This window comes from Homo sapiens, chromosome 14 (assembly GCF_000001405.40).
Source record: "Homo sapiens chromosome 14, GRCh38.p14 Primary Assembly".
Lineage (NCBI taxonomy): Eukaryota > Metazoa > Chordata > Mammalia > Primates > Hominidae > Homo > Homo sapiens.
Genome location: NC_000014.9, coordinates 22,189,014 through 22,204,305, shown reverse-complemented (window position 1 = coordinate 22,204,305; position 15,292 = coordinate 22,189,014). Strand labels below are relative to the sequence as shown.

The following is a 15,292-nucleotide window of genomic DNA, read 5'->3' as shown; positions in this document are numbered from 1 at the left end:
AAAAACTATTTTTAAATAAAAATAAAAGCAAGTTGCAGACAAATACACATGGTATGTTCCAACTTATGTAATAAAATTGGGTAGATATTTATGTGAGTATCCACATAAATGAAAAGGAGTATGATCATCAGGGCACTCTCCAAACTGTCAAAATGGGTTATTGTAGGAATTGAAGAGAAAATGGGATGGAGATGGAGACAGTCAGTTTGGGCCTCTAAGGTTTTACTTCGCATACTTAATAGTTTGAATCTTTTACAATGAAAAAAGATTTGTGTATTTTTGTTTAATAATAGAGATATTTCAACATAGATTTAAAAAATGAAATCAATATTCACATATCCACCACTTTCTTGCTCCCTTCCAGAAATCATCTATATCCCAAGAGTATGTGCTATGGATGAGTAACAAATAAAATTTCAAATTTTTCGTAAGGGCAAATGAATCAATTTCTGAAATTCATTTCAATTATTGAGAGGTTGGAAGGACTAATGTGATATAATATTCAAAGCCCAGGCACTTGCCTGGGGCTAGATGAAGAAATGCTTTGGGACTACCAGATGATGGTTCTCATCTTTTATAGTGAGGTCTACATGGAAAGCAAGAGTTGATTAAAAGAAAGCGTCCGGGAAAATTCTTATTTCCTTTCTTCCTGACTGCAGAATTCCAATTGTGATTCTTCATCTCTTCGCCAAGCTTCTCAGTCCTTTCTTCAGGACTTCTTAGCTATTCTTTCTCAGTTTCTTCATTCCTTTAATCCTCTCATCCTCTCATTGATTTCCTTACCACCTCCTCTTTACTTCTTTTCCCTTTTCTTCTTTAAATTTTCTTCTTCCTCTATTAAACTTCTGCTCCTTCTTGTGCAGTGGCCTCGTTAGATGCCTTCCCTTTCATCACCAGGGAGATATTGCACAGCTGCAGCCCCATCTGTCCCACTGTGGTCTCTCAGGATGCAGTAGTACACAGCAGCATCTCTCAAGGTAGCACGGTGCAGGATCAAGGTACTGGACTTTCTGTCTTCAGCGATTGCCAGAGAGGCCATTCTGTTGTTCACATTGCTTGTAAGACCATGAATCACGTACTCTGGACCCTGGGAGGGAAGCTGTCGATACCAATGTATGTAATCAGTTCCACTGATTGTGGAGTGGTTACAAGGCAAGTGAACAGGCTCTTCTTCGTTACTCTCCATTGAATTTGGCTGTGTGGTCTTAGCATCACCCATAATACCTATGGGGTTGAAAAACAGCAGATTAGCTCTGGATCATCAGCTCTTGGTGCATCTGAAGGTCAGGTTCACCACTGCTCCAGAACTGTCCTCCCTGCCCTACTCCATATTTGAGTGTTTTTATGTGTGTTGCACAGGACAAGATAAATATTACTGGTATTTATTTGTTCCTGAGCTATGCAGAGCCACAAGGCCAAAAATAAATTTCCCATCTTCCATGACCCTTGAGCTCAATGAACCTAAAACTCCTTACAGCTTGAGAGCTGTGAGACCTGGAGAATCTTCTCTGAGTAGTGGATATGACCAACCCCTCACACTGACGCTCAGACACCCTCAAGAAACACATAGAAACAAATTTTTTCCCGCAATTGGTAAATCATGGTAGAAAACATGGAGACAGCAGATAACTCTCTTTTGTCATTAGCCACAAAACTATGCTTTCTTAGGCCCAGAACACTTACCCAAAGATAGGAGTACAGTAATGCTTGTCACCAACTTCATTGTTCAAGTGCACATTGAGGTTCCAGGCCCCAGAACTCAGACTCTGTGTCTGATCCTAGGTCAGAGGAGGTCCCAAGCAACAAAGCAGCAGCCACAGCACATCCCACATCAGGCAGGTTTCAATTTGAGTGCTCCCCAGAAATCGTCAGCTAAAGATAGAGCAGCTTCCTGGTTAGGTCTAGCCCACCCCCAGGTTTAAACATACATTTTAAAAGAAGATAAAATACGATTATTATTTGTTAATTAAAAAAATAAAACTTTAAAAAGAGGGGAAGAATATTTTCTTTAAATCTAGCTTTAATTCAGAAAGTTTCCATTAAGATCATTTTCAAGGCTGAAACTCAAGTAGGCTACATCTAAAGAAGTAAATGGGATTACCCATCCCTTATTATGGTAAGGACAAAACCCACCATTAATTGGTAGTTTGACAACCCATTGAGCTGGTAAGAACAGCCCTTTATTCCAAGAAGTCTATGTGAGCCCTGTGCTGTAAGGGAAAGAAGGGAATTTCTATCCACATCTTCAGGGCGAGTAAGTCTTAGAAGAAGCAGTAGCATATAATTTAATTTCAACAGTTAGAAACTTCTTTTTGGTAAAAAAAATTACCATAAGCAAAATTGAAAATCAAATGACACAATGAAAGAAGGTATTTGCAACATATATAACAAAAGTAATTTCATAATTGTATAATATTGCTGTGCTAAGTGTGAAAGGAAAGAACAAATTTAGAACTCAGGTTAGAAGCCAAGTTTCCTGGTACTCAGGTCTCCCACACTGGCTCCTGGAATAATGTCCTAAGTGTCTTCTAGATAGACATTGCCTGTGCCTCTGGTTTTGAGACAGGAGCCAATGGCTTGAATGACCCCTATTTCTATGCCACTTGAACTCCTCTTTAACATATGCTTTCTCATCTTCATGATGCCTAGGAGTGGCATACATTGAAGGAGAAAGGAAGAAATGGGAAGAGGTTTGGAGAGGGAAATCAAATGATGCCATTTGATAAGAGAGGTAGAAGTAACTATGAAGGGGTTTTTCTAGTTATTTTCAAAAGTGGTTATTAAAGAAATGGGAAGGAATAAAATTAAAATTACTCATTATCTCTGCTACAATAACTAAGCTTGTCAGTCCATTATAGCAACAAATATTTCACCATTTAAAATTGAGCTATGTATTAATCACTTCTCTGTTTTTCCCATTCAGGGTCACTTCTGCTCTGCATTTGGGAAGGGGCTTACCCATGTCTTTGAAACTGTGCACACACTCAAAAAGAGATAATAAAGCACAAGGTGGCAAAAAGAATGAACATAAATTCCTTATACAACTCAATGACAACCTCGCTCACCCTGGAAGGAGCTTGGATTTGCAGCTGTAACAGCTCCCTCTTGTGACTGTATATGTGAACTCCTTTACATAGAACTAGGAACCAAGTCAGTTAGCAATCTTTCAGGGTTTGTGTTTCAGGTCTAAAGATAGATTATTTTGGATGTGCTACCTCCCTCTAGTGACAAGGCTCAGCAAAGAGCTTCCTACCATAATTCTCTAAGAAAGATCAAATTATTTTCAGTCACTTTGGGGTTTTAGAATTATTTCCTAAAATTCATAAGGAAACAAAAAAGAGCCCACATTGCCAAAGCAAGACTAACCAAAAAAGAACAAATCTGGAAGCATCACATTACCCAACTTCAGGCTATGCTCTAATGCCATAGTCACCAAAACAGCATGGTACTAGTATAAAAATAGGCACCTAGACCAATGGAACAGAATAGAGAAGCCAGAAATGAAGCCAAATTCTTACAGCCAACTGATCTTTGACAAACCAAACAAAAACATAATGTGGGGAAGGGACACCCTATTCAATAAATGGTTGTGGGATAATTGGCTAGCCACATGTAGAAGAATTAAACTGGATCCTCATCTCTCACCTTATGCAAAAATCAACTCAAGATGAATCAAGGACTTAAATCTAAGACCTAAAACCATAAAAATTCTAGAAGATACCATCAGAAAAACCCTTCTAGACACTGGCTTAGGCAAAGACTTCATGACCAAGAACCCAAACGCAAATGTAACAAGAACAAAGATATATAGATGGGACCTAATTAAACTAAAAAGCTTCTGCACAGCAAAAGAAACAATCAGCAGAGTTGACAGACAACCCACAGAGTGGGAGAAAATCTTCACAATCTATACATCTGACAAAGGACTAATATCGAGAATCTAACTCAATGACTCAAATCAGCAAGAAAAAACAAACAATCCCATCAAAAAGTGAGCTAAGGACATGACTAGACAATTCTCAGAAAAGATATACCAATGGCCCACAAGCATCTGGAAATGCTCAACCTCATTATTTATCAGGGAAATGCAAATCAAAACCACAATGTGATACCACCTCACTCCTGCAATAATGGTCATAATAAAAAAATTTAAAAAAATACCCATTGGTTTGGATGCAGTGAAAAGGGAACACTTTTACACTGTTGATGGGAATGTAATCTAGTACAACCACTATGAAAAACAGTGTGGAGATTCCTTAAAGAACTAAAAGTAGATCTACTGTTTGATCCAGCAATCCCACTACTAGGTATTTACCCAGAGGAAAAGAAGTCATTGTACAAAAAAGATACTTGCACATGCATGTTTATAGCAGCACAACTTGCAATTGCAAAAATATGGAACCAGCCCAAATGCCCATCAATCAATGACAGAATAAAGAAAATGTGGTATATATATACCATGGAATACAACCCAGCCATAAAAAAGAACAAAATAATGGCATTTGCAGCAACGTAGATGGAAATGGAGATTATTATTCTAAGTGAAGTGTATTCATCTGTTTTCACGGTGCTGATAAAGACACACCCGAGACTGGGCAATTTACAAAGAAAGAGGTTTAATTGGACTTATAGTTCCATATGGCTGGGAAAGCCTCTCAATCATGGCGTAAGGCAAGAAAGAGCAAGTCATGTCTTACATGGATAGTGGCAAGCAAAAAATGAGAGAGAGCTTGTGCAGGGGAATGCCTCTTTTTAAAACCATCAGATCTTGTGAGACTTATTCACTATCATGAGAACAGCATGGGAAAGACTTGCCCGCATTATTCAATTACCTCCCACTGGGTCCCTCCCACAACACATAGGAATTCAAGATGAGATTTGGGTGGGGACACAGCCAAACCATATACTTCCACCCCGACCCTTCCCAAATATCACTTCCTTGCATTTCAAAACTAATCATACCTTCCCAACAGTCCCCCAAAGTCTTAACTTATTTCAGCATTAACTCAAAAGTCCACAGTCTAAAGTCTCATCCGAGACAAGGCAAGTCCCTTCCACCTATGAGCCTGTAAAATCAAAAGCAGGTTTGTTACTTCCTAGATACAGTGAGGGTACAGACATTGGGTAAATACAGCCATTCCAAATGGGAGAAATTGGCCAAAACAAAGGGGCTATAGACCCCATGCGAGTCCAAAATCCAGCGGTGCAGTCAAATCATAAAGCTCCAAAATGATCTCGCTTGACTCCATGTCTCACATCCAAGTCACACTGATGTAAGAGGTGGGCTCCCATGGTCTTAGGCAGCTCCACCCCTGTGGCTTTGCAGGGTACAGCCTCCCTACTGGCTGCTTTCATAGGCTGGCATTGAGTATCTGTAGCTTTTCTAAGTGTGTGGTGTAAACTGTCAGTGGATGTACCATTCTGGGGTCTGGAGGATGTTGGCCCTCTTCTAACTGCTCCACTAGGCAGTGCTCCAGTAGAAGCTCTGTGTGGGGGTCCAATCCCACATTTCCCTTCAACACTGCCCTAGCAGAAGTTCTCCACGAGAGCCCTGCCCCTGCAGCAAACTTCTGCCTGGACATCCAGGCGTTTCCATACATCTTCTGAAATCTAGGTGGAGGTTCCCAAACCTCAATTCTTGACTTCTGTGCACTTGCAGGCTCACCACCAAGTGGAAGCTGCCAAGGCTTGAGGCTTGCACCCTCTGAAGCCATGGCCTGAGCTCTATGTTGGCCCCTTTCAGCCATGGCTGGAGCAGCCAGAATGCAGAGCACCAAGTTCCTAAGCTGCACACAGCATGAGGACCCTGGGCCCAGCCCATGAAACCACGTTTTCCTCTGAGGCCTTCAGGCCTGTGATGGGAGGGGCTGCTGTGAAGACCTCTGGCATAACCTGGAGACGTTTTCCCCATTTGTCTTGAGGATTAACATTTGGATCTTCATTATGGCTTGAATTTCTCCTCAGAAAATGGGATTTCCTTTTCTATTGCATTGTCAGGCTGCAAATTTTCCAAACTTTTATGCTCTGCTTCCCTTATAAAACTGAATGCTTTTAACAGCACCCAGGTCACCTCTTGAATGCTTTGGTGCTTAGGAATTTCTTCTGCCAGATACTGTAAATCATCTCTCTCAAGTTCAATGTTCCACAAATCTCCAGGGCAGGGGCAAAATGCCAACAGTCTCTTTGCTAAAACATGACAAAGTCACCTTTGCTCTAGTTCCAAGCAAGTTCCTTATCTCCACCTGAGACCACCTTATCCTGGAAGATGATATTGTTTACATCACTATCAGCATGTTTGTCAAAGCCATTTAACAAGTCTCTAGGAAGCTCCAAACTTTCCCACATTTTCCTGTCTTCTTCTGAGCCCTCCAAACTGTTCCAGCCTGCACCTGTTACCCAGTTCCAAGGTCACTTCCACATTTTCAAGCATCTTTTCTTCAATGCTCCACTCTGCTGGTACCAATATGCTATGTTAGCCCATTTTCATGCTGCTGATAAAGACATACCAGAGACTGGGCAATTTACAAAAGAAAGAGGTTTAATTGGACTTACAGTTTCACCTGGCTGGGGAAGTCTCACAATCATGGCAGAAGGCAAGGAAGAGCAAGTCACATCTTGCATGGATGGTGGCAGGCAAAAAATGAGACAGCTTGTGCAGGGGAACACCTTTTAAAACCATCAGATCTTATGAGACTTATTTACTATCATGAGAACAGCATGGGAAAGCCCTGCCCGCATCATTCAATTACCTCCCACCAGGTCTCTCCCACAAGACATGGAAATTCAAAATGAGAATTTGATGGGGACACAGCCAAACCATATCATGAAGTAGCTCAGGAATGGAAAACCAAGCATCGTACATTCTCACTCATATGTGGGAGCTAAACTCTAAGACACAAAGGCATGAGAATGGTACATTGGACTTTGAGGACTCGGGGGAAGGTGTGGGAGTGGTGAAGGATAAAAGACAACACATTGGGTACAGTGAACACTGCTTGGGTGATGGGTGCACCAAAATCTCAGAAATCACCACTAAAGAACTTATTCATGTAACCAAACAGCACCTGTTCCCCAAAAACCTATTTAAAATTTTTTTAATAAAATAAAATAAAGGAAGCCCCCCCCAAAATTATTTATGTGATGTTTTCTCAATTAATGTATTCCTTTTGTTTTCTGTGGTATCTGGTTCTTCACATGTTTGAAGGCAGTTCCCAAAGCTCATGTTACTCATTGTATAGCATAGGATTTGGCACAGATTGAGAACTTAATTTGTTGGGTGAATATATTAATTTTTATTTACTCATAACATTATTGGGAGAAATTATATGGAATGACTCTTGCAATTGTTCCCCCAAAAAGCTTCTAATTTTTTTGAAAACAAATTGAACAAAACTATCTAAAAGTAAAAGTGAAAATGCCAGATTAGATCTGTGAGCAAAATTCAAATAGCACACCAAACCTTATTCTCCATCCTCCAAAAAAGAAAAATTCACAAATCTATAATACATAAAGACTGGTTATTAGAATATGACCATATATGACACAATAGCCATATAGTGACACTTAATTTGACAGCTGTTCACTGTGTCATGTTATATATGTGTCAGATTAAAAATGACACTAATAATTCAGTACTGGTATAAATATATAGGTTTAAAAAATTGGGATTGTGAAAAGAAATATGAAATGTAGATGTCTCTATGTTATCTAGTTATATTATACAAAAGTCAAACATATAGTGTTCATTACTGCAATATTCAAATGGTATGGAGAATCCAGACTGAGTCTAGAAAAGAACAATAAATATTGTGGTACCTTTTGCTTTGCTTTTTTATTTTTATGTAACAGCTTCATTAAGATACAATTTACATACCATGTAATTCACCCATTTAAAGTGTACAACTCAATGTTTTTCAGTATATTCACAGAGTTGTGCAGCCATCACCACAATCAATTTTAGAACATTTTCCTCATCCCAAAAAGGAACCTGTATCCATAAAAACAGCCTTTTTAGGCTGAATAATATTCTATTATATGTGTGTGTGTATACATATATATCACATCTTATTTATTTTTGTTTGCTGACATTTAGTAGATTCAGTAGATTTTCTTGAATAAATGCTTCTCCATTTTTGGTATGCCCTTAGGACGATTTCCCAGACTTTGGCTTTTTAAAAAATAATTTTCATCAGTTATGATTCAAATTGAGAAATTAGTGTTAAACAATTTTCCTAAGTATTGGTATCAATTTACACTCTTACTTGTTTGAGTAGATTCAAATTCTCTTCATTACTTAGCTCTGTCTTTCTTTTTTAATTTTAGACATTTTGGTTGGCATGTAGCAATATTTATTATTTCTTTTAAAAAAATCAACATTATTGAGGTATGAATTACATGCAGTAAAATGAACCCATTTTAAGTGCTTTGAAATATGGTGAGTTTTGAAATATTTATAGAACATGTAACTGTTGTATAAATCAAGACACAGAACAATTATTTCACCCTAAATTGTTCCTCTGTGTTCTCTACCTGTCAATCAGTGGTTGTCTGGGTTCCCCAACTGCAGAATCCAGACAACCACTGATCTGTTTTCTCTCAATATGGATTAAATTTGCTGTTCCTCGAGTTTCAAATTAATGGATACAAACAGTATAAACTCTTTTCATCTGACATTTTTCTCCATGTAATGTTTTTAAAATGCATCCATGTTATTGTATATATAAATTGCTCATTCCTATTTATTTTTTTCCAGTTATGACCTATAATGAATAAAGCACCTCTGAATATTTATCCAAAAGAAATAAACAATATTATGTGAATATTTTCTATTCACAAATACATTCTGCATAAATACTTCTGTGAATATATATTTTTTATTTCTTCTGGTTAACAATCTATGGGTGCAAATTATTAGATCATACAGTATATGCATGCTTAACTTTATAAAAATTGCTAAACCATTTTTCAAAGTGGTGGCACAATTTTACATTCCTAGCGCCAACATAATAAATATATAAGAGCTTCAGTTGTTCCATATCCTTGCCAATGCTTGATATTGTCTGGCATAATCTTTCTCAAATGGATGCAACCATTCCCTCAGTTCAGATGTTTTAGGCCTCTCAATTGGGATTGATTAAGGGCCTATTAATCTCCATTATAGCTACTAAAACTATATTTTTTTCCTCAAAAAATCTAGATAATATAAAGTAGAGCCTCAGGAAGCTGATTCTGTCTTTCCTTCCTAGGTATTCTATGATTAATTAGCTTTCTCCAAAAATCTCTGAATGTTAAAAGACTCTGATTAATACTCTTTCTCTATCTGTTAAACTCTATCTTTGTCTCTATCTGTTAAACTCCACTACCTATCGCAACAGGATCCAGTCACACCCACTGAAATCCAGGAAAGCAAATTACATGGCAATGTGCCCACCCCGTCCCCATTGCCTTCACTGTATAGAGGTTGGATGGCCTCCAAGAAATATTTTAAGAATTCTGGTGACCCACTCAATGATGAATTTCCTGATTCCTTGGTGAAAGAAGGGTCCTCTGGGATTCCCAGGGAGTATGGTTAGCAGGCATCTGATTAAATTGCATCAGATAATTCCATTACCACATTCCCATTTACCTGAATCCTCAGACTTCTTTCTCTATGAGATTTTTGAGAAATATCTGCATTTTAATTTTATTATCTTTAGGCCAGTGGAGTTTTACTATCCCTATGTCCAGAGGGCAGAGAGGAATATCAAAACCTGAATGGAGATGGGTGTGTGGAGAGAGCCAAGTTGAAAGGAGCTGTGATCTTTGAACAAATGATGTTTGCCACTAGAAGAGATTCCTCAGGAGGAGAACCAAGGAACAAACACCCTGACCTTACTCTGCTACCTTTTTCAGATTTTGGCAAAGGGCACCTCACTGGCAAAAATCCACTAGAACCCAGAGGGCACGGGAGCCTTGTTGATGCGGTTCATTCAGGTCAGCCTCGTGAGACAAACAGCAAGGAAGAGAAAGGTGGAGAGTGGATATGAGAGGAAAAAGGAACACACACAGCTGACGAGATCTGTAACTGAGTGTGTTCCTGTTCCTCCATACCATATTTTAAATTTCATAGGCTTATTGTCAGGGACAGGAAGTCCTCCTATTGCTCTTCTTCTCTCGGAGTGCTTTGAGTATTACTGACTTTTAAAAACTATATATTTTAGAATCTACTTGTATATACACACACTCTTGATACTGATGGGGATTTCATTGAATGTATTTACCAAATATGCGAGAATTGATGCCTTTGCATTGTAAATCTTCTAATTCATGAACATGATGAATTCTCCCATTTCTTTAGATCTTTAATTTCGTTTTTTAATGTTTTATAGCCTTTTGTCTTGAGGCCTTGCAAATATCTTTTAAAATTTATTTTTAAGTATTTTGTATTTTTATGCTATTTTAAGGATATATACATGTTACATTTTTTAATTTTTAATTTTTGTGGGTAGATTGTAGGTGTATATATTTATGAGGCACATGAGATGTCTTGATACAGGCATGCAATGCATAATTACATCATAGAGGCCAGGCATGTGGCTCACGCCTGTAATCCTAGCACTTTGGGAGGCTGAGGCGGGAGGATCACTTGAGGTCAGAGTTCAAGACCAGTCTAGCCAACATGACGAAACCCTGTCTCTACTAAAAATGCAAAAATTACCCGGGCATGGTGGCACTTGCCTGTAATCTCAGCTACTCAGGAGACAGGCACCAGAATCACTTGAATCTGGGAGGCGGAGGTTGCAGTGAGCCAAGGTCGCACCACTGCACTCCAGCCTGGGTGACGCAGTGAGACTTTCTTAAAAAAAAAAAAGTTTACATCATGGAGAACGAGGTATCCATCCCCTCAAGCATTTATCTTTTGTGTTACAAATAATCTAACTGTACTCTTTTAGTGATTTTAAAATGTACAATTAAATTATTATTAACTATAGACACGCTGTTGTGCTATCAAATGATAGGTCCTATTAGTTCTTTGCAGTTTTTTTGTACCCATTAGTCATCCCCACCTATTTTTTTATTTTTATTTTTTGAGACGAGTCTCGATCTGTCGCCCAGGCTGGAGTGCAGTGGCATAATCTCGGCTCACTGTGGCCTCCGCCTCCCAGCTTCAAGAGATTCTCCTGCTTCAGCCTCCTGAGTGGCTAGAATTACAGTCATGGGCCATCATGCCTGGCTAATTTTTGTAATTTTAGTAGAGATGGGATTTCACCATGTTGGCCAGGCTGGTCTTGAATTCCTGACCTCACGTGATCCACCCACCTCGGCCTCCCAAAGTGCTGGGATTACAGGCGTAACCCTCCACCCCCAGTTCACCCCACCTATTTTAAGGACACTTTTTAAAGGTTCATTTAAAATTTCTGATTGCTTTCATATAAAATGTAATTTTTAATACTACATAGCTAAACTCAGTAATGTAATATATATTTGCAAATGATTTGGAATTGTATATATCACAGTCATGCCATCTGTGGCTAATATTTATAGTCTTGTTTCTAATTATTAAAACTTTTATTTCTTTATTTTTCTTAAATATTGGTTAGGACCTTCAGTATACTTTTTTAATAGGGATAGCGTTTTTTTGGCTTTCTTGAAATAAAGCATTCAACATTTTTCATTAAGTTTTATGTCTGCTTTGTTGTAATACATATAATTTAGCAGAATGAGGACTTTTTTTTCTATTCCTAATTTGCCATAAATTTATCTCTTTATTATGAATGAATATTTACTTTGTATTAAAAACTTTTGTGTAACTGTTGAGATTATTAAATCATGTTTTTATTAATGAGAATTATTACTTTAATTCATTTAAGATGTTATATAAAGATTATATAAAACCCAACTTGGTTGTGATATGTTATTCTTTTTTATAACTGCTAATTCTTTTTACTAATAGTTTGTTTAGAATTTTTGAATTTATGTTCATTTAGTGAGATTATCCCATAATAATTTTTTAAAAAATATTTCTTTATTCAGGTTTAGTATCAAAATCATGCTGGCCTTGTAAAATAAATTGGGAAAACATTTTCTCATTTTTTCTCTGTATTTAGATAAGTTGAGTAACTAGGTTATCCTGCTACAATAATCAACTCCAAAATCTCAGTGTGTTACAAAAACTGTTAATTATTTTCTGCACATACCTAGTTCATTTTGGATTATTATGAAGACCCCTACCCTGCTTTGATGAGATTCTGACTGCACTCTATGCAGGGAGTTATTTTGCCCATTGTTTTTTACATTCTCTGGCTCAGTCCTCTGGAATATTCTTTTTCTCTTATCTCCTTTGACCACATATTAAGGAATATGCCTGCCTTGGTGGATAAATTGGTTTCTCAGCCCACCTTCTGCTGGGCTTATGAAGCACCCAAGAATTATTTTCTATCTCTAACAATCATAGTTTGTTTTAGTCAAAGCTTCTTTTGGTCATCCATTTCTTTCAAAACATTAATTGCCTTCTTATCTATCTGAATACAATAAAAACCATGTATTTATATATTAAAATACATAAAAGTAAATTTATGTATTTATGAAATTTGTTTATATATAAAATATATAAATAAATAAAATGATAATATTTATAAAAACTGCTAAAATCAACATGAGATTGGAAGATAAAATGGTTTATAGTGCTACTTCAAATCTGGAAATTCAACAGTTTAAGATGAGAATCAGCAAACTGCTTCTGAATTTCATGAAATACATAGGTTCATTTAATCTTATTGTTCAGCAACGATTTTAAAAAGCACTTTGTATGATGGTTAATAGTGAGTGTCAACTTGATTGGATTGAAGGATGCAAAGTATTGTTCCTGGGTGTGTCTGTGAGGGTGTTGCCAAAGGAAATTAATAGTTGAGTCTGCACTGGGAGAGGCTGACCCACCCTTAATCTGGGTGGGCACCATCTAATCAGTTGCCAACTCAACTAGGATAAAAGCAGGCAGAGGAATGTGGAAGGACTTGACGGGTTAAGTCTTCCATCCTTCATCTTTCTCCCATGCCAGATGCTTCTTGCCCTCAAACATCAGGCTCCAAGTTCTTCAGCTTTTGGACTCTTGGGCTTACAGCAGTGGTTTGCCAGGAGCTCTCGGACCTTTGACCGCAAATGGAAGGCTGCACTGTCGGCTTCCCTACTTTTGAGGTTTTGGGACTCCGACTATCTTCGTTGCTCCTCAGCTTGCAGACGGCCTAATGTGAGACTTCACCTTTCGATTGTGTGAGTCAATACTCCTTAATAAACTCCCCTTCATACATACAACTCTCCTATTAGTTCTGTCTCTCTAGAGAACCCTGACTAATACACTTTGTGATTTACTTTAACCCAAGATAGAAACGTAATAGTTGGAAATCGCAAGAAAGAATGCTGCTTTATATATAAACTCAATAAGGAAACTTTTTTTTTACAGAGGAATGTTTACATTATAAGGTCTCAACTGTGCCACTAATGTGCCTTCTTCCTGTCTGTGCTTCATGTATTTTCCCTAAGCTCCTGAGCAGGTGGCTTCCTTTATGGAGTGCTAAGGTTTTTGTTTATCTTCCACTGTCATTTCTACTTCTGTGGGATTCCTGAGAGCACAGAAGTACTTGGCTGAGTCAGTTTTAAGGAATTGATGGTGAGGTTGATGAACTTTTTCTTTTTTTCAAAGTTCACAGGCTTTGCATTTGACTTAGAATAACCCTGATGAATAAGGAAAACCATCTCTTCACTGGGAGGTTGCTTGTTGCTTGTACCAGTATAAAGTGTACGAATTCTATCTGGTTTCAAACATGCAGTCCAAGGTCACAGCTACTCCTTTCTGCCTAGTTACTGTGGTCTGAACTTGGGTTACTTTCTGAGCCATGCTGGATCCTATGGGAAAAAGGAGAAAACAGAGTTGGTTCCCTTAAATGTCTCAGATGGGTCATGAGGACTAGATTAATTTATGGCAAAAGGACAAAGAAAATAATTAAATAGTGTTTCATTTCCCCACTTCCCTTACCTCTTACTTAATACTCCACCAGTTCCAATTTGTGCAGCCCAGCTCTCGAGGAAGCTGCAGTCCCATGTTTGGGGCCGCCCATAGGTACTGAAGCCAAAGGGGACCACGAATGCCCACAGCAGGCCAGGGCAGAGCATGGTAGAATTTCTTCTTATGGTTGAAATTTGCTTCCTCACTCAAGCCTGGAAACAAAATGCTTCTCTGAGTGCCTGAGTGCAAAGTCCCTGGAGAAGTTCAGTGTTTCTGCCCCCAAACAGGAAATAAAGTGTGCAAGTAGTATGTTACATTGCTCTATTCAGAGACTGAAAAATCTACCCTACCCCAAATCTCTGTTTTGTCTTGGTGTTTTCTGTGGCAATACATTTGAAAAATTAACCTTATATCTAGCAAGGTACAGGAATAAAGTTTAATAATCATTTTGTTATTGAATTTTTGCTTAATACCATATGGTCAGAGACTATGACTATTCTGAATGATTTAAGTTCTTTGAAATTGATTAAGGCTTACTTTATGTTTCAGAATATAGTCAATTTTGCTAAATATTCCTTGTGTAATCTGTTCTTTTGAGGTAAAGTATTCAATCTATGTATGTGAGGTAAAGGATATTAGTTGTGTTGGTCATAATTTCAATACTTTTCTACTGAGAGATGTGTGTTAATGCCTGACATGATGGTTGTATAATTATTTATTGATCTTTTAATCAATAAATTCTACCAATTTAATTCTACTGGTCAACTCTACTGATTTATGTTTGATATATTTTGAAGCTACGCCATTAGGTATATATAAAAATAGAATTTGTTCTGGGTAGATCGTACTCAATCATTTTGATGTGTTGCTCTGTGTCTCTAGTAATAATTCCTGGTTTAATGTCAATTTTATCTGATATTAGTATAGCTACCCAGCTTTCTTTTGGTTGGGGACTCCAAATGTCTTATTATTCACATGCAAAAGAATGAACTTTCATCCCTACTTCTCACCATATTCAAAAATTAACTTGAAGTGGAGCAATAACCTCAATGTACAAACTGAAACTATGAAACTCTTAGAAAACATAGATATAACTATCTGTGACCTTGGATTAGGCAATGTTTTTAAAAATATGACATATAAAGCACCAGCAACTAAAGAAAAAATAGATAAATTAGACTTCATTAAAATTTAGAACACTTCTGCTTCAAAAAACACTATTAAGAAAGCAAAAAAAAAAAACATAATCTATAGAATGGGAGCATCTATTTGCCAATCATATGTCTCATAAAAGTCTAGTATCCAGAACAT

At 37.6% G+C, this 15,292-nt stretch overlaps 1 pseudogene, 1 gene segment (V, D, J or C) and 1 further gene, besides 8 other annotated features; all 3 read right to left on the bottom strand.

Annotated features, from left to right (window-relative positions):
- The window catches only part of TRA (T cell receptor alpha locus), a 930,229-nt gene that overhangs the window by 347,827 nt on the left and 567,110 nt on the right, over positions 1–15,292 (bottom strand).
- Positions 899–907: a recombination feature (nonamer).
- Positions 908–930: a recombination feature (spacer).
- On the bottom strand, positions 938–1,723 carry TRAV26-2 (T cell receptor alpha variable 26-2). The segment is given in 2 exon segments: positions 938–1,224; positions 1,684–1,723. Coding segments are annotated over 2 exon segments (327 nt in total), but the record flags the coding sequence as incomplete, so codon positions are not given.
- Positions 1,214–1,224: a sequence feature (TRAV26-2 leader sequence).
- Positions 1,684–1,723: a sequence feature (TRAV26-2 leader sequence).
- Positions 13,554–13,562: a recombination feature (nonamer).
- Positions 13,563–13,585: a recombination feature (spacer).
- Positions 13,592–14,148, bottom strand: TRAV33 (T cell receptor alpha variable 33 (pseudogene); annotated as a pseudogene). The gene is given in 2 exon segments: positions 13,592–13,881; positions 14,100–14,148. Coding segments are annotated over 2 exon segments (339 nt in total).
- Positions 13,871–13,881: a sequence feature (TRAV33 leader sequence).
- Positions 14,100–14,148: a sequence feature (TRAV33 leader sequence).